This window comes from Homo sapiens, chromosome 12, assembly GCF_000001405.40.
Source record: "Homo sapiens chromosome 12, GRCh38.p14 Primary Assembly".
Classification (NCBI taxonomy): Eukaryota; Metazoa; Chordata; class Mammalia; order Primates; family Hominidae; genus Homo; species Homo sapiens.
In genome coordinates this window covers 10,587,233-10,614,931 of record NC_000012.12, presented here as the reverse complement: position 1 = coordinate 10,614,931, position 27,699 = coordinate 10,587,233, and the positions used below count along the sequence as shown (strand labels likewise).

The following is a 27,699-nucleotide window of genomic DNA, read 5'->3' as shown; positions in this document are numbered from 1 at the left end:
CACGATCTCAGCTCACTGAAACCTCTGCCTCCAGGGTTCAAGCAATTCTCCTGCCTCAGCCTCCCGCGTATCTGGTATTACAGGCACGCGCCACCACGCCCAGCTAATTTTTTTGTATTTTTAATAGAGACGGGGTTTCACCATGCTGGCCAGGATGGCACATATATTCTTAATTATAGCAATTGCTCCCTTGTGCTGGTATTCGCCTTACGTGTTTGCTTTCTTTTCTAGACTACCAGATCAAATGGCTTATTTCTAGTTTCAAACTGTCACATAGGAAATGTTTGTTAAAACTAATGTTTTATAAAATTTAAAGCTTATTTTACATATTATCTCATTAGATCTCTCAAGAATTCTGTGAGCTTGGCAATGTAGATTGCTGTATATGCATTAGGCTGATGAACAAACAGGCTTAGAGATAGTCACTTGCCCGAGGTTAGTTAGCTGTTAAGTGTTGGGATTGAATCCCAGGTCTTCTCTCCACCACTTTCTACTAAAAATCACTGAAGGTTGTCAACCGACAGATAGGATTACTCTGTGTGTTGATAACAAAAGGGTGATCAATAATATCTGAAAAGGAAACTTTGTGTAAAAGTCTTTCCCTTACCTTAAAAACTACGCCACACTGGAGCATTCTTTCATTCCCCCAATTTAATTCTATCTGGCGAGAAACAATAATGGGCTAAACCATTATTGTATCGTAAGTCAAATTGCCAAAACTTCACAGGCTACTAAAAGTTAACCCTTATTGAATGAATTAAGAACCTTAGAAGTTCTGCTGTTAAAAAAAGCACGGTGACTGTCAGGGTTTTTCAGGTGTGGGGGGTGTGAGGGTTTTAAGAGTTGGATTCCTTTGACTTTGTCTCTATTATTATAGGCTTAGAGGTCCCGGGTAACTACCAATCGCTATCCAAAGGGAAAGCACCCTGTTAGAAATTAAGTAAGAAAAATAGTTTATATTCCCGGTCTGCCATTTCGATTCTAAGCTTTATCTTTATTTAGCTCACAGTTAAAGGGGGCATAGAGCCACACCCACCTCACAAACGCCGCAAGGATTGGGAGACCAGAAAAGTAAAAGTGACTTGCAAACCTTTAGCTCTAAGTCCATAAAAAAGACTATCATATGCTCACATTTCTAATCTTTGCTAGTATAATGTAATCTTTATTTTGAAAACAATGTGCCTCCATTCCTAGTAAAGCGAAAGTCACGGCGCTGCGACCCTCCCTTCAGCGCCTCCGGACTCTCACGCGATACTCGGCTTTCACGCTTTAGTCTAGGGCTGCACTGCAGGAGGAAGAGAAGCGCCTGTGGTGACGCACTTATTCCGCGCGATGACGTCACTGCAAGGCGCCGGGGGACACGTTGGCTGCGTTTTCGGCGGGCTTCCCGGGTACAAAAATGGCTGTGGCTAGCGATTTCTACCTGCGCTACTACGTAGGGCACAAGGGCAAGTTTGGGCACGAGTTTCTGGAGTTCGAATTTCGGCCGGACGGTGAGAAGAGGCCCACGGCACGCGGTGCTGGGAAAGGGGAGCGAGACCGAGAGGCCGGGTGGTGTGGAGGGTACAGGCGGCGGAGGCCACTGCTTCCCTCGAAGGAAATAGGAGCTTAAGAATAGAGGAGGCATAAGTTGGTTTTATAAATGAAAGAGAATTAATTGCAATAAATTAAAGCTAATCCTGTCACAAACTGAAAAGTTGAACCTACAGTAATCAGAATTCTGTAACAGTGCACCAGAAGGGACTCTAGATCGTCGCCCTGATTGAAAATGCTAGCACTTTTTTGAAAACACCCCCACCAGCGGGTGGTCCAGTGGATGAATAAAATCTTGTGGTGACCAGTACCTTTTTTTCATTTAGGCTGTGTGTTTTCTTTGAAGGGGAGGAGCCCAACGTGTTAACAAATGAGAATAATAATATGTTTTAGGTGTTTACGTGTAATTGTTCACCATAGGACGCATGAAGAGTACCAAGCAAGAGGGGAGAGGTAAAGTTCCACAGGAGGGAGTCAGGAAGATCTTCTTAGAGGACGGCACTCTTGAGATGAGTCTCGAAATGAGAGACTTGGCCTTTGAGAGAAAAAAACAGACTTCCAGAGCAGTATGAGCAGAGGATGAGGTGAAACTGCTACCCAAGTAGTGTGCAACAGTGTGTTTTCTGACAGCGCTATCCTTAGAGAATGTTACATTGATCTTGCCTACCTGCAACAAGAAAGTTCATTTGGATATATATTTTTTGGGTTTTTTTGAATGCACGTTTTGTGCTGGACAACAAGCAAATACAAAATTTTAAGGTACAGTAATGAGTAAGACAAATTTAACTAAAGCAGATTTGTCTTGGTGGGAGGCACAGACATTTAACTATAAAGCAGTATGCATATTAAGTCCTATAAGCAGGCTTTGGACAATGTTCTGTGAGAGCAAGAATAAAAAATTAGAGAAGGAACGTATATTAGGAAAGGAGAAGAGTATCAAGCATTTCAGGCAGAACTCACGTTAACTACAGTCCTGCAATTATTATTATTATTATTATTTTGAAACAAGGTCTCACTCTGTCACCCAGATCTGAGTGCAGTGGCACGATCTCAGCTCACTGCAACCTCCCCCTCCCTAGTGCAAGTGATCCCTCACCTCAGCCTGCCGAGGTGCTGGGAATACAGGCCCACGCCACCTCACCCAGCTAATTATGTTATGTTATGTTATGTTATGTTATGTTATGTTATGTTATGTTATGTTATGTTATTTTTTGTAGAGATGGGTTTCCCCATGTTGCCCAGGCTGGCTTCAAACCCCTGAGGTCAAGGGATCCACCAGCGTCAGCCACCCACAGTCCTGGGATTACAAGCATGAGCCACCGGGCCAGCCCTGCAATTATTTAGAAACCTTAATCACTGTATTTAACCTTACCGTCCCCATAAATTCAGCTAAATTTACCTGAATTCATCTATTCTTTATGTAGTATTATTTTCAGTTCCTCTGCCTGCGAACACCATCAAGCTTGTCCCTATCACTTTTAGCAGGTCACATGAATTAAGTACCTGAATATTATCAGGGAAGTTTTATGCTAGAACAGTGGTTCTAATCAATGTATCTGCCACTACACTGTTACACATACTTCCATTGGTGATATTGAGCCTCCCGAAGACGCGTTTCTTTTCTTTTTTTTTTTTTTTTTTTTTTTTTTTTGAGACAGAGTCTTGCTCTGTCGTCCAGGCTGCAGTGCAGTGGTGCGATCTCGGCTCACTGCAACCTCCGCCTCGTGGATTGAAGCGATTCTCCTGCCTCATCCTCCCGAGTAGCTGGGATTGCAGGCATGGGCCACCATGCCTGGCTATTTTTTCGTATTTTTAGTAGAGACGGGGTTTCTCCATGTTGGCCAGGCTGGTCTCTAACTGCTGACCTCAGGTGATCCACCCATCTCAGCCTCCCAAATTGCTGGGATTACAGGCATGAGCCACTGTGCCTGGTGCCAAGCCATCAAAGACTGTCATTTCTATCATTTTAGAGTACCTGTTGCACATTATAGCTGTGTCTGGGCAACTGACTAGCCATAAGGGGAAGCATACATCAGATAATACAGCAATCATGATGGATTAAAATTAAATATAAACTAGCTAACAAACTCATCAACTTTGATCCAGAAGCATCGTTTGTATGCTTCCTAGTCATAATTCTAAAATGTCTGCATTATAATTGCATGCATACATTTGAAGGAAAAAAATTTTTAAAAGAGAACATTTTGGTGTAGTGGGGAAAGCCTGAGTATTGAAAGAAAGTAGATCTAGATCTGAATCTTGTGTGACCCTGGTTAAGTTACTTAACTTTGTTTTCTCTCCTATGAATAGGTGAGAGAATAAAACCCGATTTTTGGGATTGTTTTACAGATTAGATTAAATGCTCTGGGTGAGGCACTTAGCACCGATACAGACATATAACAAACTTTAAAGGAATCTTAGTGCCTTTTGCAGATTCTCTTTCTAGTTCATGATGTAGCTTAAGAAAATAGGCCTTAAAAATGACCCAATATATATTGTAGGCATGGGCTGTTTAAATATTTGGCTAGCTTCAACTTCAGCAAACTTAACCAGCAAACATTTATTGTCTACATGTCTAGCAATGATCTTACACAAGGAGGGAGGAAATATTAATAAAAATAGTAGTATAAAATGGTCTTTACCTTCAAAATTGTATATGATGTTAATTTTTTTAGCAGTTTTTGCTATTATAAATTGATTTTTTTCCACTTCCCACAGGAAAGCTTAGATATGCCAACAACAGCAATTACAAAAATGATGTCATGATCAGAAAAGAGGTAAGTTCTATGTGAATGTCTTTTTTTTTTTTTTTTTTTTTTTTGCATTTAGCCCATTTTCTTCAAGTCTGTGTTGAATTTAAAAAAGTACATCTAAGGCTATATTGTAAAGAAGAAGGCAATTTATAGATTGAAAGAGTTTCCATTTAAATTAGATACAGTGTTTGCATCCATAGGAATGAGAAAGTTCAGAGAACTAACCTTGACGTGAACTACACTTGCATTTATTGATTTATTGATTTAGGGACAGAGTCTCGCTCTGTTACCCAAGCTGGAGTGCAGTGGCTTGATCTCAGCTCACTGCAACCTCTGCCTCCCAGGCTCAAGCGATTCTCCTGCCTCAGTATACTTGCATTTATTACAGTTCACCTTATAGATCTTGTGATGACACAAGTTAACCACTTGTGGGTATTTGGATCTCAGTGTTGCAAAGGCAGAATACAGTGTTTGAAAGACAGGTAATGATGAGAAGAGGGAAAAAATGTATGTGAAAGGAAAGGGCAAGAGATGAAGAAAAGCAGTGTAACAAGGATAAGTGATTCTGTCTCCTCTACTTTTGGAATCAATTAAATTTTTCTATATTCCTCTATTTGGATATTCAGGGTTTGTAACTCATTTCTTTCTGAGTTGAGGGGTGACATAGGTGGGCATTATCTCATTTTATTATGATTAATTTTTAGGCTTATGTGCACAAGAGTGTAATGGAAGAACTGAAGAGAATTATTGATGACAGTGAAATTACAAAAGAAGATGATGCTTTGTGGCCTCCCCCTGATAGGGTTGGCCGACAGGTTTGTATTTAGTGATTCTTTAAGTGTATAAATATTAAAAATTGATAATACTATTTTGTTTCCCGTTATTTATTTGGAATGAGTCTAAGTTGATTCTTTGGCTTTCTATTTAATAGGCACCTGGTAAATTCTCTTTAATTTTATCTCTTAGTTCTGTTTTTCTGTGCTACCTCCTAGTAGTGAAGGAGTCAGTGCATAGCTCTAAATTTAGACATCTTTCTCTGTAGTCACCCCAGCCAACGTTAGGATGTTTTCACAATGCAGTGTTATGAATAATTTCTGTTGTGTGTTAATCACTTTTATTAAGAATATGACTATGTAAAATTTATTTTTGCCAAATCATAACTTCTAAAATTCTTACTTGCATCCCTATACCCCAGAGAGAAACTTGATTGGTGGTTTCTTTGTTAAAACTGATGATTGCATTTCCCTCTCATATTCCTTCAGAATAAATGATGTTTCTCAGGCTTCTGAAGAACTCTGAAGGCCTAATTTCACTCTGTAAAAAGAAAGTTTGGTTTCTGAATTGGGTCTTTTCAACTCTTGGAGAAATTCCTTCAACAACCCCTGGAAGGAAGAAACATTTAATTTCACTTTTGTATATCCCTGAGGATTGTACTTTGTATCACCTTCTTTGAATAGAAGAAAATGTGGAGAAATCTAACACATGCTGACACTCTGTAGGAGTAACTTAAGTCTTCTGCTTAAAGAAGCATTATTTAGAAAAGCAAAGGTAATAGTTAACAGTATTTATTTTAAGCATCGTATCACTTTTAAAAAGTAAATTTAGGCCTCAGTTTGTTTTATGCAGATACACATATGTACTAAAAAGCAAACCACAGCAGCTAACCTTTTATATCATTTAGACTCAGGGAGAGCCTAGTATTTTATCTATTCACTTAAGGATGTGTTCATGGGTTTTGGTTAGTGGGGAGGAGTAGGCATGCTTCAGAAATTGCCTTTTGTATCAAGTCAAAGGTTTTATGGCTGTTAGAGCATCTTAGCTAATTCTCCATTCTGTGTGTGTCATAAACTGCATAATTAGGCCTCTGATTAAATAAATAGCTAGGATTGTCTTCAATAGTGTCTGTTAACTTGAAGATTCATTACAGATATAGCTTTTTAATTATTGGTTTTAGGCCTGCAGATAAACAATATAGGGAAAAATCTATACAGTAATTACAGCACACTAGGAACATCTACATTAGGTTGGTTTTTTTTTTTTTTTTTTACTAGTTCTTAATTTTAGTTATTTTGTGGAGTATTAGTTTTGAAGTCTTACCATCTTGGGATCAAATATAAGTACCATCATTATTAGTGGTTATAAATATCAACAAGTATTTTCTTCTGCTCTATGAGTTTTGGATTACACATTTGTAAAATAGGTTAGTAAGGTTATTTTCAAGATTACAGAGAGTACAAAGTCCCTACCACTAGGGCCTGACATACAGTAGGTGCTAAAGTGGTGGTGGTTATTAATATTACACATTTTATTTGTAGAATCTTCCAGAAAGAAAAAATGTGTATTTATCATATTAAAAATGGTCTTATACTCCAATCATTTTTACAACATGTGCTTCAAAGTGATGTCTTTAGTTTTTACTGACATTGTAAGAAATATTTCTTTGTCATTTTGTTTCATAGTGTCTTCTTTATGTCTCTGGAAAGCAATTCTTTGTTGGTCCTAAACTTGGGGGTAGTGCGCGTGAGCAGTCTTTATTTTAAGGATATAGTTTATATCTAAGAAACCATGTTTCTTTCCCCCTCGCCCCCCACTCCCTCTGTTGGCTGCTAGAAAACTTGCAACTAAAATTGGGATCTGCTTGTAGCAAGAATACAGATACCTCTGGGATAGATTTTTATATTAACTACATTTTTCTGCTATATTTTTTAGGAGCTTGAAATTGTAATTGGAGATGAGCACATATCTTTTACCACATCAAAAATAGGTTCTCTTATTGATGTAAATCAGTCAAAGTAAGTATGTTAAAGCATTTTGGCGAAGTTTTCATTATTACAGAGGCTCATTTTAGAACTATAGTCAGTTTGCTAGCCAAGATAATTTCAGTGGCATCCTATCAGTTTATTATGCAGATGTAATCCTGATTTTTATGTCATTAAAGGCTTATTATCTTGTCTCTCAGTAGAAGTTAGCAGAGTATTTCATTGATTGTCCAAAAACTTTTAATCCAACAGCTGTATATAATAATGCCCAAGTTGTATTAGCTACTTTGTATAAAAATGTGGATACAGTATCAGCAAATCCAAAGGAAAGAAATCCTTATTGGATTATGTCAGCCTCATTAGGCCTATATCATCTCACTGTCCTTCTTGGGCTCAATACTTGGGAAAAAGATGGAAAAAATCCATTATGGCCTAAGTATGCTTTAGCTATCGATGTCTTCCCAAGATCTGTCTCTCCTCTGCCCCAGGGTTTTGTAGCACATCCCATTTTCTTGGTCTGATCCTAGCCACTTATTTTTATTTGTGCCCATTCCCCTCAAAGTGTCCCCATAGTGCTCTTACTTTTTTCTGTCACCCTGAATTGTAATAACCTATTTGTCTGCTTTACTGGTTTGAATGTAAGCTCCTTGAGAACCTTGCTGTATCCACAGAGTTAGCATAGTGCCCTGCACATAATAGATGCTTTCAATAAATATTTGTTAGTGGAAAGGAGAAAGGAATGAATGCATGATAACTATTGGACGCAAAATCTGTGTTCACAAAGACCATCCAAATGCTTTTAAACTATCAAATTTCTTTTCCTACATTTGGTAAGGGTGTGGCATTGATACCCTACTGGGATTATAAATTGGTAATGGTTTTTGGAAAGCAGTTTGGTAATATGCATCAAAAACTGTTGACATTTTTCATTCACCTTTGGCCTAGTAATTTCATTTCTGAGCATCTCTTCTATGGAACTATTCCTAAATATTGGAAAAGCTTTATTATGCATGAAGATGCTCATTGAAGTATTATTTATAATAGGAAATTAACCCCAGTGTCTAACAAGGAGAGAATTATTAAATTAATTAAAAATTACTAGGGAATTTTTTTTTTTTAATGCTGTGGGGAAAGTAATGTAAAAAAGGGCACAAGGAATAATTTTAGTTATTAAAAAATAGAGAAACATCAAAATGTTTATAGTTATTCTATGAAATGGTAGCATTACAGTATTATTTTTTTCTGCTTTATTAGACATTTTTATGATGTGGTTATTACAATCATAAGGATATGAACTCTTTAAATACTAAAATGAATACTGATGAAGAAACTATTTTTTCGTATAGAAAAGATATTAATTGTATGTTCATTTTAGTTGTCAGCAAAATCCTTCCTTTCTCCTAAATTTTGTTAACTTAATTGTTATGAGATTTTGATTTGTTTTGTTTTAGGCATTTAAAGAATTGTTTTATCCTAGGAAGAAAAAGTAACTTTTACCTTTTTAAATTTTAGGGATCCTGAAGGCCTTCGAGTATTTTACTATTTGGTACAAGACTTGAAATGTTTAGTTTTCAGTCTTATTGGATTACACTTCAAGATTAAACCAATTTAAATTGTATGTTTTCAGGCTGTTTGTATATTTAATTAAGGGATGGGAGGGGTTATTTGTCATTTACAGTATTGGGGTTTTTATGAATGTGAAGCAAACAAAAAAAATTTGTATGTAAACTGAAAATAAGAAAATACATTAGCAAGCTTAATGGTTATCCTTACTTGAGTCCATATGGGTTGGACAGTCCCCACACACATTAAATTCTGTAAATGAAAGCCACCTTTTGTTAAAAATTTGCTCTAATAAAACATACCAAATCCTGGTTGCAGAGTAGTTTTTTGTTTTTTCCAGGAGGCTATGTCTCTAATTCACTTTAGAGATAATAAGAAATTGTTCTGGTAGATATATCCTGTGACAGAAGATACTTTAGGTGGAACTATGTAGCCAGATTCCCATCCATGAAAGGCAAGTGTAGATTGTCCCTTATTTCCTTCATACATGATTGGATTTAATTTTGGGGGGCTTATACAAGGTCTAGTTTTTTTTTACAGTTATGACAAACCCCTCAGGGATTATTCACATTTAAATATTTTCAGTTATAAGCAGTGAGGTCCTAAAGTGTTACAAGAGTACAGTCTACCCCATGTTAGGCATATCTTTGATTATGTCTTTATTCCTTATTTCACAATGTATTTGGTGTGTAGGGGAGGGGGGAGAACTAAATGAGTTTTCAGCTTTATAAATTGTTAAACATTTAGACAAACATATATGTATGTATGAATGTACATAAATATTTTTAACTCCTATTGACCACGAGTCTCACTTCAGTTTCCCAGTTCCTTTCAACCTCTTTCTGATAGATTTCCTCTTTCATTACTTTTAGTAACCATGTTCCTTGTTTCCTTTTATTCTTCCATCTGAAGCCCCACTCTTAAAAAGTTGCACTGTTCCAGTAGTTATAATCCACTTGCCCTAGGAACAAGTTAGCACTGAATTTTGGGTGGAATAATTAGTTTCTGAAGGCTTGCCAGGACTCCTGAGCAGGTAGGCTCTAGAGTCGGGCAGTCCAATAACTTTTTTGCAATAATGGAAACGTTCTATGTGCAGTCCAATAGGGTAGCAACTGGCCAAATGAGGCCTACTGATTACTTGAGGTGTGCCTTGTATAACTGAATTTATGGTGCTATTTAAACAATTTTTTTCTAACGTGAAAAGGATAAAACATTAAAAACTCTTGAGAACTATAAAGTGAACACCTATATGCCTACCCCTACCTAGATTCTATACTTAACATCTTTTTTACTGTAATATCTCTATTATAATAAATCTTGGTTTTTCACTTAACTGGTGTAATTGGTGCCAATAAACTACTTTTTTTGTAGTGCTATTTAATTTTGATTAAATTTAGGTAGCCACGTGTCTAGCGGCTACCGTTTGGACAGTATAGCTCTAGAGCATGGCTTGGTAACCTGTTTGCCATGGAGCACTAGATGGTCCTTTTCACTCCTCAAAATGCATGCCCATTGTCTTCAGGTTTGCCATGGAAAGTCAAATGATTTCCACTTCATTATGCAAGTACGCTATCATCTTCAGGTCTTTTGTATGTAAAATGTTTCTGTTCCAGTTGTAGACCTTGATGATTGTGCAGTATGAAATCGTATTGTAATTTTCTTGCATTTAGATGTCAACCTCAGAAACAGGAACAATCGTCTTTTGAACTTCCAGTAGGCCCACAGTTGTTGGTTGTTCCTCAAAACAGGTTGTGGCTCCTGTTGAATAAGATGATCCATTAAAAACTGAACAAGGTTGAGGAGAAATAGTGCTTACGTTGAAAAATCTTTAAGTCTTTGTCCCCGTTCTCTAACTTCCTTACGTTTTCGTTTATTTAGCTCTATCCCCACTATCTACTAGAATTTCTCATATTTAAACCAAGATGGGAGACTAGGTCATTAGGAAAATATTACCGTCTACAATTTTCTTATACTTTGATCTGTCTTTTATTTGATTGTAAGTTGCTGATGGACAGTGATCATTAGAAACTGAATTTTGTATAATACTAGTTTTATATGAAACTAGATTTTTATTGCGCTCAGGTTATGTTCCTTTTACCTCCTTCCTTAATAAAGAGACCACTTGAAATAATCAGACTTTTTCCAAGTACTGTCTGCACCTCATCCCACCTCTTCCCCATTCATGAGATAGTGCAGAACCCTAGCACAGTCTTTTCCATATAGTAGGTGTTTTTTAAGTTTGTTGAATTGGTTGCTGTCTTGCTCTGTCCTTAGATTATTTGCCTTTAGATTATTTATCTTTGGTATTTCATTGGTATCAGGCTGAGTCTATTTGTATGGATATTTTTAATGTAAATATTAATGTAACTGAGATGATTTATATATTCTATTGTTAGACTACTTCGTTTTGATTTGAAATGTGTGAACCTATGAGCATGGACTGTGCTGTAAGTTTAACCACTGACCCCTTTAATTAATAACTGGATTCCTAGCATGAATGGATAATGAAGTCGAATAGAAAATTTTAAAAATTTAATAAACAACAAAGGTAAATGAAGGATTTGAGGGTGAGTTCAGAATCTGCCTTGGCTGACTTCCGTATGATGATCAGTAAAGTTGGATAACTACCACTCAAAATCTCTGGCATCTACCTTGTCCTAATTTGAACTGTGTGATGTGGTGGAGAGAATACTAATTTAAGAATCAGAAGTCTTAATTACAGATCAGCTTAACTATTTTCTCTTAAATTGCCATCGGGAATCCTTTTTTTTTTTTGCCATTATGTCATCATAGTTAACTTAGTTCCTGAGGTGGCCCTCTTGTTTGGTTTCTCAGAAATAAGAGGAAGGATGGTTGCTGTTTGATCAATTACTAGAGGTTCAGTTGGGACAATGTATGTTAAACTTAGAGCATTTGAATGTATTTTACTGTAAAGACAAGAAAGACAAACAGGGTGATTAGGGAAACAGAAAATCTCAAGCTAGAGATTTTTTTTTTTTTTTTTTTTTTTGAGACGGAGTCTCCCTCTGTCACCCAGGCTGGAGTGCAGCGGCGCGATCTCGGCTCACTGCAAGCTCCGCCTCCGGGGTTCATGCCATTTCCCTGCCTCAGCCTCCGGAGTAGCTGGGACTACAGGCGCCCGCCACCACGCCTGGCTAATTTTTTGTATTTTTTTTAGTAGAGATGGAGTTTCACCGTGTTAGCCAGAATGGTCTCTATCTCCTGACCTTGTGCCTGCTTCGGCCTCGTTTTATCTTTTTCTTTACTATAAGAGCCAGGAAGTTCAGTGTCATGCAGTGGGATAAAAGTTAGGCATTAGAACAAATAAAAAAGGAGATGGCAACTTGTCTGGGTGAGGTTAGTCCTCCCAGTGAAGTGATTCAGACCATCTTCCCTGCATGCTAGGGGTTTTTCCAGACATCCTTCATTTTAGTCTGGGGCAGGAAGAGCAGTGTGCTGCTGTGAAATGATAAACCACTGAGGTTTGACAGTGTGACCCGAAGGTTTGAAGGTGTGACTAGAAGCTGTTCTAAGCTTCTAGCTAACGGTATGGTCAGAAAGGAATGAGTAAAATATGTGGTTTCCTAAATAAAAAGGGCTTTTGCAGGAAAGGAGCCAGAAGATGAGCAAATTAATACTTCATATATTCATATTTGTGTGTTATGTGCATGTTTTGCACAAAAGTGAATTTGGAAGGCAAAGTACCAGAACATTCAAAACTCTGTATATTTCTCTTCTGTTTTATTAACTGGATGTGATAAAGTTTAATACTTCCAACTTTGTGCCTCTTTAATCAAAAGGCCAGGTAGGGAGTTTCAATCTCATTTGAAGTTACTGTTATCTTCTGGTGCTGATTGTGTTTTCCTTTAAAGGAGAAATTTGCCTTTTCCAGCAATTCAGAGCTTGGTAATAAAGAGAAAACAGGGGAGCAGCTAGAAAATTTGGCTTTCCCGTCGTCAGTTTCATTCTGCCTCTTTTCAAAACTATGAAGAAATCTAGATTTTATAGTCAGTTCCTTTTAACTTGATCCACTTGGTTCATGAGGTGCACTTGTAGGCATCATGCCTCTTACATGTGCTGCAGTTTCAATAATGAATAAGACAGACTTGTGGACTTTATATTATGATAGAGGAGACAATATGTAAAAAGTATAAAAAATTGTGCTCTGCACTTGTCTAGTCTCCATCCTGAGAACTATTCACCTTCTCCCCAGCTATGTGGATGTAAATCAAAACAGAAACATGCCTCAACATAACCAGTATCTATCTGAATGGGGCAGTAAGATATGCAGCCACGGAATGGTTTCTCTAGAGTGATGGTGGCACTAGCACGCCAAGCCTCATGGCAGGATAGAGAACCTGGCTCAGTATAACATGTCAGGATTTCTGCACTGCAGTCCTGGTGTTTCCCCTATTAGAACCTTAGGGGAAGAAAAACAAACAAGAAAACAGTTACTTATTTTGAAGTGTAAGAAATCCTGTCTGTAGTGCTAAATTTAATTAGTCCTAGCCTATGAAGCGTGTGATACTTTTATTGAACCTATGAGAAAAGTGAGGCTTGAGGATTTGGTTGACTTGTTCAAATTTTTATAGATAAGAACAATTTGAATCTTGGACTTCAAGTAACAATTTTTAACATTTTATGAGAGCCCACCATATATATGCCAGGTTGTAGTTAGACACTTTGAGATGGATCTTACCTCATTTAACCCTCATAGCAACCTTGGATGGCAAAAAATATCACTATTTTACTATGGTGAATACAAGACTTAGAGAAATGAAGTAACTTGCCTGAAGTCACACATGGGAGCTAGGGGCTAGCATTTCAAGCCAGATTTGCCTGGTTCCAGGATTCATGCTTTGTGGCAAGAGCCTTGTTGGAAGCCCGGGTCCTTCTGAATTCACGGTCCATTGTGCTCTGTCTTCAGTCAGGCCAGATTTTAAACAGGAATGAAGAATTAGCAATAATGTTTCCTTATGCAAGTCAATGAACTTCTTCACTTTAGTTTCCTCATTTGTAAAATGGGGACGAAAATACTTGTCAATGTTGGGAGGTTTTAATATGGTTATATGCACAAGAGGTACTCCAATACGTGACAGTATCTCTGTCACCTTTTCAACATCCGCTATTACTACACCCCAGCCCCTGACCCTGTCACCCACTTCCTATCATCTCTCACAGAACTAACTTCCTTTATTTATTATTTTGGCATTGAGATAAAGGGATATGGACCGTCTTTACTCTGATTTGGGATTGACGAAGCCAATCCAGGATGGAGGGAAAGAAGAAAATGCCCAGCAGCAAGTATTCCTGAAGCGTCCAAACTCCATGCATGAAACTTTGCCTACATTATTGAGTAAAATTAGCCTCTGGGAGATGTTTCATCTGATGGCCTGCACATGATGATGTGGCCGACTTCAGGGACTACATGTCCCTGTATCAGCAATTTCGCCTGCTGTTCTGTGCCTCTCTATCCCACACTCCTTATTAACCACTATCACCTGATTTGAACAATTTAAGTTGGTTTCCTAGAACTGTAATCAGAAGATTGAAAAAGACTGAATCCAATAAAAGTGGAAGTCAATGAGAGATCTGAGTACATTCTGGCAGGGTCTGCCTCATGGTGGAGTGACAAAAATGAATTTTTTCAAGTCTTCGATATAGGTGAAAATGTGAGGCCTTGCTGGAAGGTTTTAGGGATAGATTTTATGAAGTGAGATTTCGTGGGAAAACTCAAGTAGAGAAATAATTTGCCAGTATCTTTTTCTTAAAAAATCAAATGTGCACATTTTCACACACAACTGATGGAACATCAAAGGGAACATCTCTTCTGGAGGGCATTTGGTGATATATATTAGAGTTCTTTAAATACATATACCCTTTGACATACAATTTTATGCTTAAAAAGTTTCCCTAAAAAAAAAAAGTACAGACCAAATATATTTTACAATAGAAAAAATTGAAAACAATTTAAGTATCCAATAGTAGGGGATTGCCTAAATAAATGATGGTTTATCCCTGTGAGTAATATTTTTAAAATAACATTTCAGATGAATTTCTTTGAAATAATGGAATACATATTATTTATTAGAAAATAATAAATAAAAAATACTGTGTAAGGAATGATACCAACCTTGATAGTAAGCACAACATACAGAGAAAAAAAACTGGAAGAATATATGCCACAATTTTATAGAGGAATTACGGATCTTTTAAAGTAATTTAAAAAATACATTTACTTGAAATAAACAGATAGAAAAAGGAACTTTTAAAAAATAATGACATATAGGAGAACATTTCCAACAGAGAGACTGTTATTTAAACTAAGAGCTAAGTAGTTCAATCATTACACTTCTTTTATATGTCTATATTTTTATACATAGACATTTCAGTAATGTCTTTTACCAGCAGTTTCTCTAAAGTACGTTAGTTTTTTGTTAATGATATTAGTTTTATTTTCTCCAAAGATGTGTACAAAATTTTATCTTTTCAGCCCTCAAATATTGATTTTGAACATTATTTTGCAAAGAGTACTAAGTGGTTGGTTAGTTGAGATAGAGGAATATGCAGCTTTTGACTATCTTTCCTTTCCCGTCAGTACCAGCTTTCATGATACAATTTCCTCTTATCACTTTGGTCAAGAGGTGGGGCAGAAAATTTTGAGTTACAGTATCATTCGAAGAGAATTTATTTCTGCCTTTCATGTTATAGCCCCTAAGGGATCCAGGACCCGAAAGGCCAGCTTCTCCCTCATTTTGAAATCAGTTTTCTCCACCTGCACCACTGCATAGCACAGATACAGGTAATATCCACTTTTATTTTCTCAGATCTTTCTACCAGATTATCCTTAGTCTTACTAATTCTAGAAATACGGCATTTAACTACAAATGACTTAGCATTATAACAGAAATGATAGGAAAGCATTCGCTACTGATTGTATTAATGCTGCACTACTTTGAAGGAAATTGTAGTCCAGTATTAACAAAAAGTTATTTTCTCTTTCTCAATATGCTGTGATTTTTGCTTTGTGTTATCAAAATAAAGAATAGAGATTTGAGGGGTTAATTACTTTTTACTTAAGTCTAATGATTTACATATTTTATCCATCTTGAATGACTCTATAATAGAAAATACTTCTTTTTCTTAGGAAATTAGGGAAAATGTGACTAGGTTAGAAAATTTTGTAAATTAAAAAAATTAGAAAAGAATATGGTTACATGTGCAATTTGTTTTTTCATATTTCTCATTTCTTGGATATCATCTTTTTATACTGACTAACATAAGAAGTAAATTTTAGGTATTTACTATTTAATTATTCTTTTCTATATTGACATTCATTAATCAATAGAATCTTTTATGGACATTAATGACTGCCTGTTGACAACTGTTATTTTCACATAGGCTTCTCTGGCAATATACCGGAAGATTATTTCTAAAATTTTAACGTACATGGAATCATTTGAGATTTAAAATACATTTATCTGGGCTCCAACCGAAGTGATTTTTATTTAGTACATCTTGCAAAAGGCACTGAGTCTGGCATGTTAACCAATTTGCAATATTAACCCTCAAATAATTCTTTTGTAGAAGGTATATGCGATACATTTTGGAAAGCACTCTGATAGAGTCAAGTATAGTTGGAAAGAATGCAAGAACTTTGTTATATTTACATGTATATTAGAATACATGTAAGTTTTTAAAAGCCAAGATATTTTTATTTTTCCAGAATTTATTAGATTTTTTGTTTGTTGAACTCATAAAGTGTTTCAGTGATTTGCAGTGGTATCAATTTTACCTAACATTTGTATATGTATGTTGAATATTTTGAGCAAAATTGGCTGGGTGAATAGAACAATAATCTATTGGTAGATTTTTTTCTCATCATTTCTGTATTTTCTCATTATCATGGCTGTGATCACTAGAAGTATAAATGACTTTAACAAAAGTATTGAAAGATTTTTCATTTCTTCTATAAATGAGGCTCACTCTAAATGCTTTAGGCACTTAGTTAATAAACACACGCCAATAGACACACAGACAGGCACACATACATCTCTCAGCATCAAATCCTGGTGTGTTCTTATTGGCTGACATTTTAATTTTTCTTTCAACAGAAACCATCCTATTTCAGGATTTGAATGCAAAACTTACCTTCTTACTCTAAAGATGAATGATCAGGGAGAGATTTATTCAACCCTGAGATTTTTGCAGTCTCCTTCAGAGTCACAGAATAGATTAAGGCCTGATGATACTCAAAGGCCTGGGAAAACTGATGACAAAGGTATGCGTTTTAAGCATTTACATTCACCTGTTTCTTATGGATTGTCAAACTTTTGACATTTGAAAAAAGATTCCTATCTGTACTTCTTGTTCTTGGCTGGTGATAAGAAACTATAATGGGGCAGAGTAGTAGAAGTATTTTTGTTTTAAGTTGTGAGAATGGAGAAATGAGTGAATTCTTTTAAATTTGAGAAACTAGTAGAATGTTTTTATTTAAATGTGGTCAAGAAGAATTTGTGAGGCCTTGATAACAAAGGACAGACTAGATCTGAAGAAAACATGACATTTCCTAGAGAAATAAAAGTATGAGAGGAAGTGTAAGAAATGAAAAATCAATGTTAAAAACAACATTTTTATGCAGATAGCAGATATTTTATGTGCCTTAAGTATTTACCAAATCTTAATGGCAATGATGCAGTAACAATGTTTGAATCAAAAGGGGCATTCTAATTTTTCTATGCTCTCTCTCTCTCCCTTCAAATGTGGTCATTGTTAAACTATGCATTGAGAATAACTTTTGCTGCTTTAATATAGAGATAATCAGAGATACAACTTTCAGACACTGAGGATCTCAAAAGCTAAAGGATAAATATAGCATTGTTTAGAGAAAAATAGAATTGATGAAAAAGAAAGAAAAGTTGATTTCTAGAAACTCCCTCAAAGATGGACCCATCCACATTTGCAGCTTCAGAATATCCACTATTGACTACTAATTTCTTAGCATTATTGAGTGCTTTTTCCTTTCTCTTCATGATTAGTTGTGATCACAGGAAGGAACACACACGTTAGCTTAGATTTTGCTACATGTTTTGTGTCTACTGCTATTGGTGCTTTTATGTGGGATGGACTTTTTAAATCCTATAGAACTATTCCTGTGTGCGGGATTTCTACAATGCATGCATGTAATTTCCAGATTACAAATTTAAATATACTTGTGTGATATATTTTTGTCAGAGTTTTAGAGGATATTGTCTCTTTGTTTCAAATGGTTTCTCAGGTCAAGATTAGTAGTGAGCCAAGCTCTTCCCCTGGTGATTATTTTCCTTATTTTTGTATTTAAAGAATTTTCAGTGCCCTGGCACCTCATTGCAGTGACTCTTGGGATCCTCTGTTTACTTCTTCTGATGATAGTCACAGTGTTGGTGACAAATAGTGAGTAATAAAATACAGCTTTCTCGTCCGAGTAGCAGCAGTAACCACTGATTGTGCAGATATTAACCATGCTCCGTCCATTGTTCCCCGTCTGTAATCAGAGAATGTCCCAGGTGGCTCTGGCCTTTGTTGGTAATTTTTTTCTGGGCATATGACAGTGTCATTTTTAATTTACTTAACCTTGACTCTGAATCTGTGATGAGCTGTCTCACTGTGTATAATACATGGTAATATTCCTTCTCATAGAGGATTTAGTAATACATGTATTCTGCCATTTGGGTTTGATTATTGTGAATCTGAGATAAACATTCTTTGAGAGACAACTGTTCAAAAGAAATTATGGCTTTCTCTTGACATTTCTCAAAGTATGTAATGACGAAATGGTTTAGTAAAAGAAAGAATCTACACATGCAGTTATATAATATTAAATTCAAGCTTTACCTTTTGTTTGAATTCCTTCATATCTTTTGAAAAAAATCACTGATATTTTATATTCAGATAAAATTACGTATCTGGATCTTACTCTCTTTTCTGCTGCGGATAGTCTATCTGCCCCAATAATAATTGTGCTATCACTTCATGTTTCTTTCTTAGTTCAGATTTTCATATGCAGAAGATATGTGGTTAAATGTTGGCAAACTGACTTTTACTTTAGTGCTTATTTGTAAATGATGAGTTATTAAAAATAAACTAAACTGAGAAGTAAGGTGTCACCTTCATAATTTTATTCAGATATGTTATTTATCCTACACTTAAGTTGCTAATGGTGAGAAATTTATGTTTCCCTTTTTATGGCCAGTTCGTTGAGGTGTTACTTTCTAAATGTCAAATTACTAATCAAAGTAATGACTAATTAAAGTAATGATTAATGGTTGTCAGAGTGAAATTTTTTCTTTTGTCTTAAATTTCAATATTTAATTATTATGAGTACTTATTTGTATTATATCTATGCCATTAATTTTAGTCTTTCAGTGTATTCAAGAAAAACATCAACGGCAGGAAATTCTAAGAAACTGTAGTGAAAAGTACATCATGCAAAATGACAACTACTTAAAAGAGCAGATTTTGACAAATAAGACTTTAAAATTTGACGTTCTCAAAAATAGCTTTCAGCAGAAAAAGGAACTGGATTCACGCCTTATACAAAAGAACAGATGTCATAGAGAAAATGAGATCGTTTTTAAAGTTTTGCAAAATACAGGTACAAAGGAAATCTTGAATGAAAGATTGCATGATTTTGCATTATTTCTTCCCCTCCATAATCCTTGAAGCCTAATAAACAGGCTTATGATAGTATTAGCGACCTCTGAGGTCTACTGGGCAACTTTTAATCTGTGCCTCTTAGATGTAGTGTGGGTATCTTGGAGGTTTTGCTTGTTTCAAATGTGGGATTGGGACCCCAGGATCCATGTTTAGATTAGTAAAAGCCTACAGTTCCCAAAATTCATTGGCACATCTTACATTATTAATGCTCCCAAAAGATGAATTCGTATGTAAACTCCCCTGAAAATTCTGATCATTTTGGTCCTGTGAGCAAATTAAAGACTTGCACTTTTTGCTGACATAGAATATGGAGGTTTTCAGTAAAAATATATTTGTGCTAAAATGGGCACAAGGGCTTTTATTTGGATGCTGTTATAAAGATAATTGTGTGTGTCGTGCACACGTGTGTGTTTCCATTCTGCCTTGGTTTCACATATTTGGTCTATTTGTGACCAGTATGTACTCCCTGTAGCACATCTGCAAGATTTGCCACAGTGTTAATGTTTGTGCGACTCTGTGCGATGATACCGTTGAAAGCACTTAAGATATAAAAATATTAAATCTCATACAGTAAACTCTATTATCTTGCATAATGATGGAATTAATTGACCCGGTTAATCAACAACTACTAAATACTTGTTTAGGATTTAGAGTTTACAAAGAATTTTTGTATATTTAATCTCATTTAGGTATGATAATTAGTAGAAATTTACCATCTCTATTTGTAAAGGCTGAGTAGTATTTTAAAAGTTTAATATAGTATAAAATATAGGAGGAAAAGAAAAAGTTTTAAAATTTTTCTTTTATTTAGAAAACATTCTAGAATCTTTTTTAAAAACTTAATTCAATTTTATTGTTTTTAGACAATTTTATTGAGGTATTATTGATATACAAAAATGCATATTTTTAATGTTTTCAATTTGACGAATTTGGACAGAAATGAAACCATCACCACGATCAGAGTAATAGATATATCCATCATCTCCAAAAGTTTCCTCATGTCCTTTCATTTATTTATGTATTTGCGGTAACAACACGAGATCTACCCTCTTAATAGGTTTTTAAGTGTACAATACAGTATCATTAACTATTGGCACTACGCTGTACAGCAGATCTCTAGAACCTAGTTATCTTGCATGACTGAAACTTTATACCATTGAACTTCCCTCCAATCCTGGGCAACCACCATTCTATGCTTCTGTGAGTTTAACTATTTTAGATCCCTCCTATAATTGGAATAATAAAGTATTTGTTCTTCTGTGACTGGCTTATTTCACTGAGCATTATGTCCTCAAGGTTCATCCATGTTGTCATATATAGCAGGATTTACTTCTTTTGGAAGCTGAATAATATTCCGTTCTGTGTATATAACACATTTTCTTTAGCCATTCGTCCATCAGTGGACATTTAGGTTGTTTCCATAGCTTGGCTATTGTGAATAATGCTGCATTGGACACTGGAGTGAAGGTATCTCTTGTATTCCAGAATCTTGATGAACCTTGTATTATAATTATTGATTGCTATTGGGATTTTATTTAGTTATGATGGGCTGATAAACATATTCCTCTGGTTAACAGAATACCAGATGACAAGAAGTTTGATGATTCACCTTATATATTGTAGGCAAATTCTCTGAAGACCACGGGTCCTGTTGTGGAGTAAACTGTTATTATTTTACCATGCAGAAGAAAGACTGGAAGGGATGTAAACAGACTTGTCAACATTGTAGATCATCCCTTTTGAAGATAGATGACAAAGATGAACTCGTATTTTACATTCACTTTTATTCTCTTGGACTCTGTTTCTCAATGTTGGACCTAAGATATTGAAGACAGGCTGGAGCCCAGAGTGAGAGACTTCAACTATTCTTTGTGTGTGTCTGTCGTGTGAGCAAAAATGATGTAGTTAAGAGGCTCCCAGGAAACAATGCCTGCTAATGGTCATATAATTCTACTACTTACTAAATATTCAATACGTTATCTATTATGATGACCATTATTATTAAGGATGCTGTTTGGGTCTTTGCAAATCATCTCCCTGTCAGTGGTTATACTGCAGACTCCTTAGAAAGGGAGATGGATGACCTCTAGTATTTATTTAACCTCTCCGAGCCTATCTTCAAAATGGAGATAATAATGAGGAACGTAAAAGTGATAACAGCTTTACAAATTAGCCTCAATAGTGATTTTCATTGCATTCATAGGTAACATCCACTTAACATTCTTTTTTTTTTGAGATCTTTTTCTTTTTTTTAACATTCTTATATATTATCTCAAGATGTGTATCTTTAAAACAGAATTGTAAAAAGAGAAAATATAGTGATATAGTGTAACAATACGGAATAATAGTGATAACAATATTGAATATAACAATATTGAATTTTAAAACAATTATGTTTAAAATTTTTAAAAACTGTTACTAATGAAAGTTATCCAAATACTCAAAATATGTTTTTATAGAGGTATGTTTGCAAAGATTAGCCTGAAACTTTTATTTATTGTTTAGGAAAACAACACAAAATGTATATGCAAATCTAATGAATGTTTAAAAAATCATAGCATAAAAGAATTCATGATATCAAGTTATGAAATAATTTCATATGATACAGTAAAAGTTACATTTAAACCTGTATTTTAAAATATATTTAGTCACTTAATCAGACATTATGTAATATGTCACTTTGATATATTACATTTTAGACATAGTAAATACTTCCAAATACTTCACCCATTCCAACTATGGAACTATAGCAAGGCTTCCTCTTATGGGGCTTAAGATTTTACTGCGCCCCTATCATACACACACCTTTTTATTTTAATAGATTTGTTTTGAGGATTCCTTTTTTCACTTAAGATTAAGTGTTGATCAATTTTCTACATCCTAAATATTCTTCTGGAGCATGATTTTGGATAGTTTCATAAAGCATTATAAAATATTTAACAACTTTCCTATTGGTAGATATTTGGATATTAAACTTTTCCATGTTTTAAATAGTCAGTGATACTGACAGCCATTTTTTAACATAAATGAATACTATATTAATATGAGGGGAAAATTACTTTGGGAAATGGAAAGGCAGGGATCTAGGGAAGAGAGGTTTTTCTAGGGAAAAGGGGTGAAGGATGATGTGGAGAGTAGCAGAGTACTGGCCATAGAAACAGTCGGCCCCTTGACCTGTCCTTGTTCTCACTCATCGAACAGATGGGAATTTAGTCACCTGATATGTTTTGTTTCTATTATAGGCCTTCATTCAATCTCAGATTTATGAAAATAATTACTGGATTGGATTATCATATGATGAAAGGGAAAGTAAGTGGAAATGGATTGATAATGGCACATCTCCTGGAATGTAAGTGTCTGGAAAGCATTCAAACTGTAACATTGGTGGGGGGGCGGGGGTGAAATGATTGTGTCTAAAGAGAATCTTTTCTCATTTCACACAGTTTAACTCATTTTTAAGCAGGAGTCTTTAGTAACAATTAGAACAATGGGTAAGAGTGTTTTAGGAAGTATAGGTAGAAAAGGAAGAGATGAGCCACAAAGAGTTAATAATAATTTTAAAAGTATCACGCTAAATACGTGCTCAGAAATATGTATTATGAGGTACATAAAATGAAATAAAATCATAAAGGAAGGTGGGTGGTATGAAGTGATTGGACCATCCTAAGTCAGCCATAATGATCCCTCCCACAACCACAAATGAGTATTCTGAGTATGCAAAAAATTTATTTTGAGTTACTTTATGTAATTAGTTTATACATACATAGCACATAAAACATATGTATTTTATATATACATACACACACACACACACACACACACACACACCTTCACTATAGACCTTCTATTTTGAAGTACATTATTAGTAAACTCTTGGGTTTACATTTAGTTATGGTTAAACTATTCATTGACTTTTAAAAAATCCTAATTATTATAATTTTAAGTGTGGGTTCTGCAAGTATTGTAGTTCTGGGCTGCAAACCTGCAAAAGATGTCACACAGAGGGAATTACCTTGATGTAATCATATCCTTCAAGCACACTCCCAGGCAAACTATTCCAGAGGTCAGAGAACAGAAAGGCTCACAGGCCAAATTAAGATGATCAAATCACAGTTGGCTAAACCAATGTAAAACCCATAGCACAGTTCAAAGGGAAAGAGATGGGATAAGTTGATGCACTTGGGATAAGGTGCAGGGTGAAGGGATCACCCTGAATCTTGGGTTGTGCATAACCGTGAATCTTGGGTTATGCAGTCTTCATACGACCTGACTCTCTCTGCTGCATAATCCTCTCCTGATGATGATATGGGGACATCTTGTCGTGTGAGTAAGGGGTCCCAACAGACACAAAGTTTTTGTGGCCAGCACACACATGTTTGTCTACAGGGAAGATTCTCTCTTACAGGAATGTGTAAGCCTGGCCACAGCTGTAAGTTTCCAGTTACCCTGATGAGCAGCTGTGGATTTAATTTGTGTTTCTTGGGCAGAGGCCAGAATGGGTATCACCAATGGGTGGTGAATTTAAGACCTCAAGAATGTTGAGTTTGTATGAGCCTCATGTTTATTTTGTGTATGTTTAGTGTCTATTTGGTCCCTTCTTTTTTTGTCTATGTTCGGTGCTCACATACTTTACTTACGTATCTATATCTAACATCTCATATGTTACTAATTTTACCTGTTCACACCTAACACATCTTGTGAGTTCTACCTATGCCTCACAAACTACTTGGTTTCATTTATCTTCCTTACCTGTTTCTTTATTTTCCTGTAGCAGATTTGAACTTTCTTAAGTAATACAGCAAATGCAAACATATACGGATGCTTTTTGATTTTGAGTTCTTAAGTGGGGGCTTTTCTGCTTAGATCCAAGGTTCAAGACAATTCTAGGTGGTTTATACTGAATGTATATCCCTTTGGGTTCTCAGTCCTACGTAGCTTATCTTCTACTTAGAATCTCCATCTTGAGTGGAATTCATTTCAGCCTACTACATCCATTAAGGGAAAAACGATCTTCAGTGCTTCACTTGCCCTTCTGCAGTCCCACCTTTACTTAATATTCAGCCTGAGTATGAATCTGCTTCTTAACAGTTTATGAAGTTAGTCAAGAAGGCTTAACATATTTTTTATTCAGTATTTTAAATTGTTTTTAATAGGAAGGTAGTTCTGGCACTTAACCATTTTGCTAAAATAGAAGTCATGCTTTAGATATTTTTCAAAGAATTGTCATTAGCTAATAACTCTTAGCTATAGGGTGGGGGAGGAAAGGAGAGAAAACACGATCGAACAATCTCATCTCTGACTATATTCCAATTCTTCCCGGAGAGAAAACACGATCGAACAATCTCATCTCTGACTATATTCCAATTCTTCCCTTTTCTTCTTACAATATATATACATGAGCCCTGGTTATCTATGTTACAGATATTCAATTCCTCTCTCTCTCTCTTTTTTAAATTGTTTTAGAGGCAGGATTTCACTTTGTCACCAGGTTGGAGTGCAGTGGCATGATCTCAGCTCACTGTAGCCCCAACCTCCCGGGCTCAAGTGATCCTCCTGCCTCAGTCTCCTGAGTAGCTGGGACTACAGGCGTGTGCCACCACACCCTGATAATCTGGTAATTTTTGTATTTTTTGGTAGAGATAGGATCTCACTATGTTGCCCAGGCTAGTCTTGAACTCCTGGGCTCCAGTGATCAGCCCTCTTCAGCCTTCCAAAGTACTGGGGCTACAGGTGTGAGCCACTGTACCTGGCCACCATCTTTCTTTTTTAATCTCTCACTTTTATTGAAAAAAAATTAGCACAAGAAAGCAATATATCATAATTTCATTGCAATATTGCAAGGTACTTTTGCCTTCTGACCAAAAATTGTCGGTGTGGAATAAAATGGGAGATTGTGGGTGTGATTAAGAGGTCATGATTCTATTTAATGGACTAAGAGCAAAAGAAAATATTTTAGTGATGAAGTTATGATAAGCATTTCCATATTCTAGACATTTAGGCAGCAGAATTTTTTAAAATCATGGTTTATGCAGTTGTAAGCTTTGGAATTAAACAGTTGACTACATATGTTTTCTGTTCTACAGTAATTCTACAATAATGCGTTTTTCTTCTGGGAGAGGAGAATGTGCATTTTTGACCTCAACAAGAATGGCAACTATTGATTGCATTCAAACGTACAATTGTATCTGTGGGAAGAGAATAGACTCTATTTTCTCTGATTCGGTGTGCGCCAAGAAGAAAAGGTGAAAATGGAATGTTTTCTTTTTTTGTTTCCCATAATAATTTCTGATTATAAATCATTGCTTTTAACTGTGGGACTTAGTTAATTCTTCAAAAGATAAAGATGAACAGGAAGAAAAAGAAAATTATTTTGGACTATGACTTTAAAGATCAGATGCCATCTTTCTTCCTGGAGAAGAGGAGATTTTCTCTTTTGAGAGTGGTTGTTCCTTCCTTTAATGTCCCTGAGGAATTATTCATTCTTTCTAATTCTCAGAACTACCTATACAACCAGTTAGAGAACTCTGATATTATATCCTGGGTCTTTTTTCTTATCAATAGGATAAATCATTCCAGCATCTTCTGGTTTTGAAAGCAGTTGTGAACTAGAATGTAGTTATTTTTTTCTTCCCATCTAGAAGTTACCTCATCTTTTAAAACATTTGTTTTGCTACAAAATATAACTTCAAACTTACTGAAAGTTGCAAGCATAGTACAAGGAACTTCTATATAACCTTTACTCATACTTACTAGTTGTTTATATTTTGCTCTGCTTTATATTTCTCTCTTTCTATCTTCCACTTAATAATAAATTGAGGACTTCATGTCCCTTTGTCTAAATATTTTCCAAGATCAAGGGCTTTGTTTTATATAATCACAGTGCAATTATCAAACTCAGGAAATTTAGCATTAGTACAGTACTATGATCTAATCTGTAATCCATGTTCAAATTTTGTCAATTGTCCCAATAATGCCATTTATGTGTATTTCTTAAAAATCCATGTTCAGGATAATTCAATGCATTTGATTGTAATGTCTCTTTAGTCTTCTTTAATCTGAAACAGTTCTTTAGGCTTTTTCTTGACCTTGACATTTTAAAAATTAACTTTATTGAGTTATACTTTTCATGCAATAAAATGCACTCACTTTAAGTCATGAGGAATATGGGTTTTAACATATATATATACACACACACCCACACATATATATCTTACACAGTATGAAATCAAGATATAGAATATTTTCATCATCTCTAAAAGTTCCTTTCTGCCCTTCGCCACCCACTTTGCCCCAGGCAACCAGGGATGTGCTTTCTATCTGCAAATTAGTTTACCCTACTCTAGAATTTAATGCATCATGTACTCTTCTGTATCTGGCTTATTTTTACGCAGCATGTTTTTGAATTATATCTATGGTTTTGTGTATCAGCATTTCGTTCTTTTTCCTACTAGGTAGTATTCTATTGTACAGATATACCACAATTTATTTCTTCATTCACCTGTGGACATTTGATGTGTTTCCAGTTTTTGGCTATTGTGAATAAAGGTGCCATGAACATTTGTGTGCAAGTATCTGTGTGGACAGGTTTTAATTTCTTTTTAGTAAATACCTGGGAGTCTGATTGCTGGGCCCTCTGGTAAGTGTATGTTTACTTTTATTTATTTATTTATTTATAAATGGGGTTTCTCTATGTTGCCCAGGCTGGTCTCAAACTCCTGGCCTCAAGCAATACTCTAACCTTGGCCTCCCAAAGTGTTGTCATTACAGGCATAAGACACCTTACCTGGCCTACTTTTATAAAAAAACTTCTAAACTTCGAAACTATTTTCCAATGTGGTTGCATCATTTTACTCTCTCAGTTGCAACATATGAAGATTACATTTGCTCCTCATCATTTTCAACACTTGATATTGTGTCTTCTTAATTGTAGCCATTGTAGTAGCTGTCTAGTGGTATCTCATTGTCATTTTTAATTTGCATTTCCTTGAAGACTAATGATACTGAGCATCTTTTTATGGGTTTATTGGCCATATGTATATTTGTAAAACATTCATATGCCCACTTAAAAAATTTGGGTTCATCTGTCTTCTGATAATACAGTTGTAAGAGTTCCTTATATAATTTGGATACAAATCCTTTGTTAGATGTAGATAATGTGAATATTTTCTCCCAGGCTATGTCTTGCCTTTTCATTTTCTTAATGGTGTCTTTCAAGAAGCAGAAGTGTTAAAATTTTAGCTCAGGAGATGGTTGCACCAAAACCTCACAAATCATCACTAAAGAACTTACTCATGTAACCAAACACCACCTGTTCCCCAATAACCTATGGAAAAATAAATACATAAAAATTTAATGAAGCCTAACATCATTTTTTCCTTATTCATGCTTCTTAATTT

At 35.5% G+C, this 27,699-nt stretch overlaps 1 protein-coding gene and 1 pseudogene across 7 annotated transcripts, besides 4 other annotated features; both read left to right on the top strand.

The window, feature by feature from the left end:
• Positions 509 to 1,386: an enhancer, noted in NCBI's record as "NANOG-H3K27ac-H3K4me1 hESC enhancer chr12:10766145-10767022 (GRCh37/hg19 assembly coordinates)". NCBI's record gives its function as "activates a minimal SCP1, AML or CMV promoter by ChIP-STARR-seq in naive H9 embryonic stem cells {active_cell/tissue: H9 hESC(naive)}" and the evidence as "EXISTENCE:reporter gene assay evidence [ECO:0000049][PMID:30033119]".
• Positions 509 to 2,266: a biological region, named in NCBI's record as "NANOG-H3K27ac-H3K4me1 hESC enhancers GRCh37_chr12:10765265-10766144 and GRCh37_chr12:10766145-10767022".
• Positions 1,203 to 1,602: an enhancer, noted in NCBI's record as "active region_5962". NCBI's record gives its function as "activates an Ori minimal core promoter by ATAC-STARR-seq in GM12878 lymphoblastoid cells {active_cell/tissue: GM12878}" and the evidence as "EXISTENCE:reporter gene assay evidence [ECO:0000049][PMID:35858748]".
• Positions 1,323 to 15,408, top strand: MAGOHB (mago homolog B, exon junction complex subunit). Of its 6 annotated transcripts, none has more exons than NR_135121.2 (6): positions 1,323 to 1,391; positions 4,252 to 4,310; positions 4,991 to 5,101; positions 5,549 to 5,834; positions 6,996 to 7,078; positions 8,558 to 10,739. NR_135121.2 is itself a non-coding variant. In XM_047429058.1 (5 exons), exons 1-5 carry the CDS (start codon positions 1,400 to 1,402, stop codon positions 15,324 to 15,326), a joined length of 354 nt encoding a protein of 117 aa, XP_047285014.1. In that variant the 5' UTR covers positions 1,323 to 1,399; the 3' UTR covers positions 15,327 to 15,408. The 6 variants fall into 6 exon arrangements, 4 of the variants coding, with proteins under 4 accessions (XP_047285014.1, NP_001306914.1, NP_060518.1 ...); NR_135120.2 differs by having other exon boundaries at positions 1,323 to 1,493; XM_047429058.1 differs by lacking the exons at positions 5,549 to 5,834; positions 8,558 to 10,739 and adding an exon at positions 15,320 to 15,408 and having other exon boundaries at positions 1,323 to 1,493.
• Positions 1,387 to 2,266: an enhancer, noted in NCBI's record as "NANOG-H3K27ac-H3K4me1 hESC enhancer chr12:10765265-10766144 (GRCh37/hg19 assembly coordinates)". NCBI's record gives its function as "activates a minimal SCP1, AML or CMV promoter by ChIP-STARR-seq in primed H9 embryonic stem cells {active_cell/tissue: H9 hESC(primed)}" and the evidence as "EXISTENCE:reporter gene assay evidence [ECO:0000049][PMID:30033119]".
• Positions 15,097 to 26,454, top strand: KLRA1P (killer cell lectin like receptor A1, pseudogene; annotated as a pseudogene). The gene is made up of 7 exons (NR_028045.1): positions 15,097 to 15,410; positions 16,723 to 16,889; positions 17,951 to 18,040; positions 19,005 to 19,241; positions 20,927 to 21,151; positions 22,546 to 22,652; positions 25,387 to 26,454. The product of NR_028045.1 is annotated as a killer cell lectin like receptor A1, pseudogene (transcript).
• The last annotated feature ends 1,245 nt before the right edge of the window (positions 26,455 to 27,699 follow it).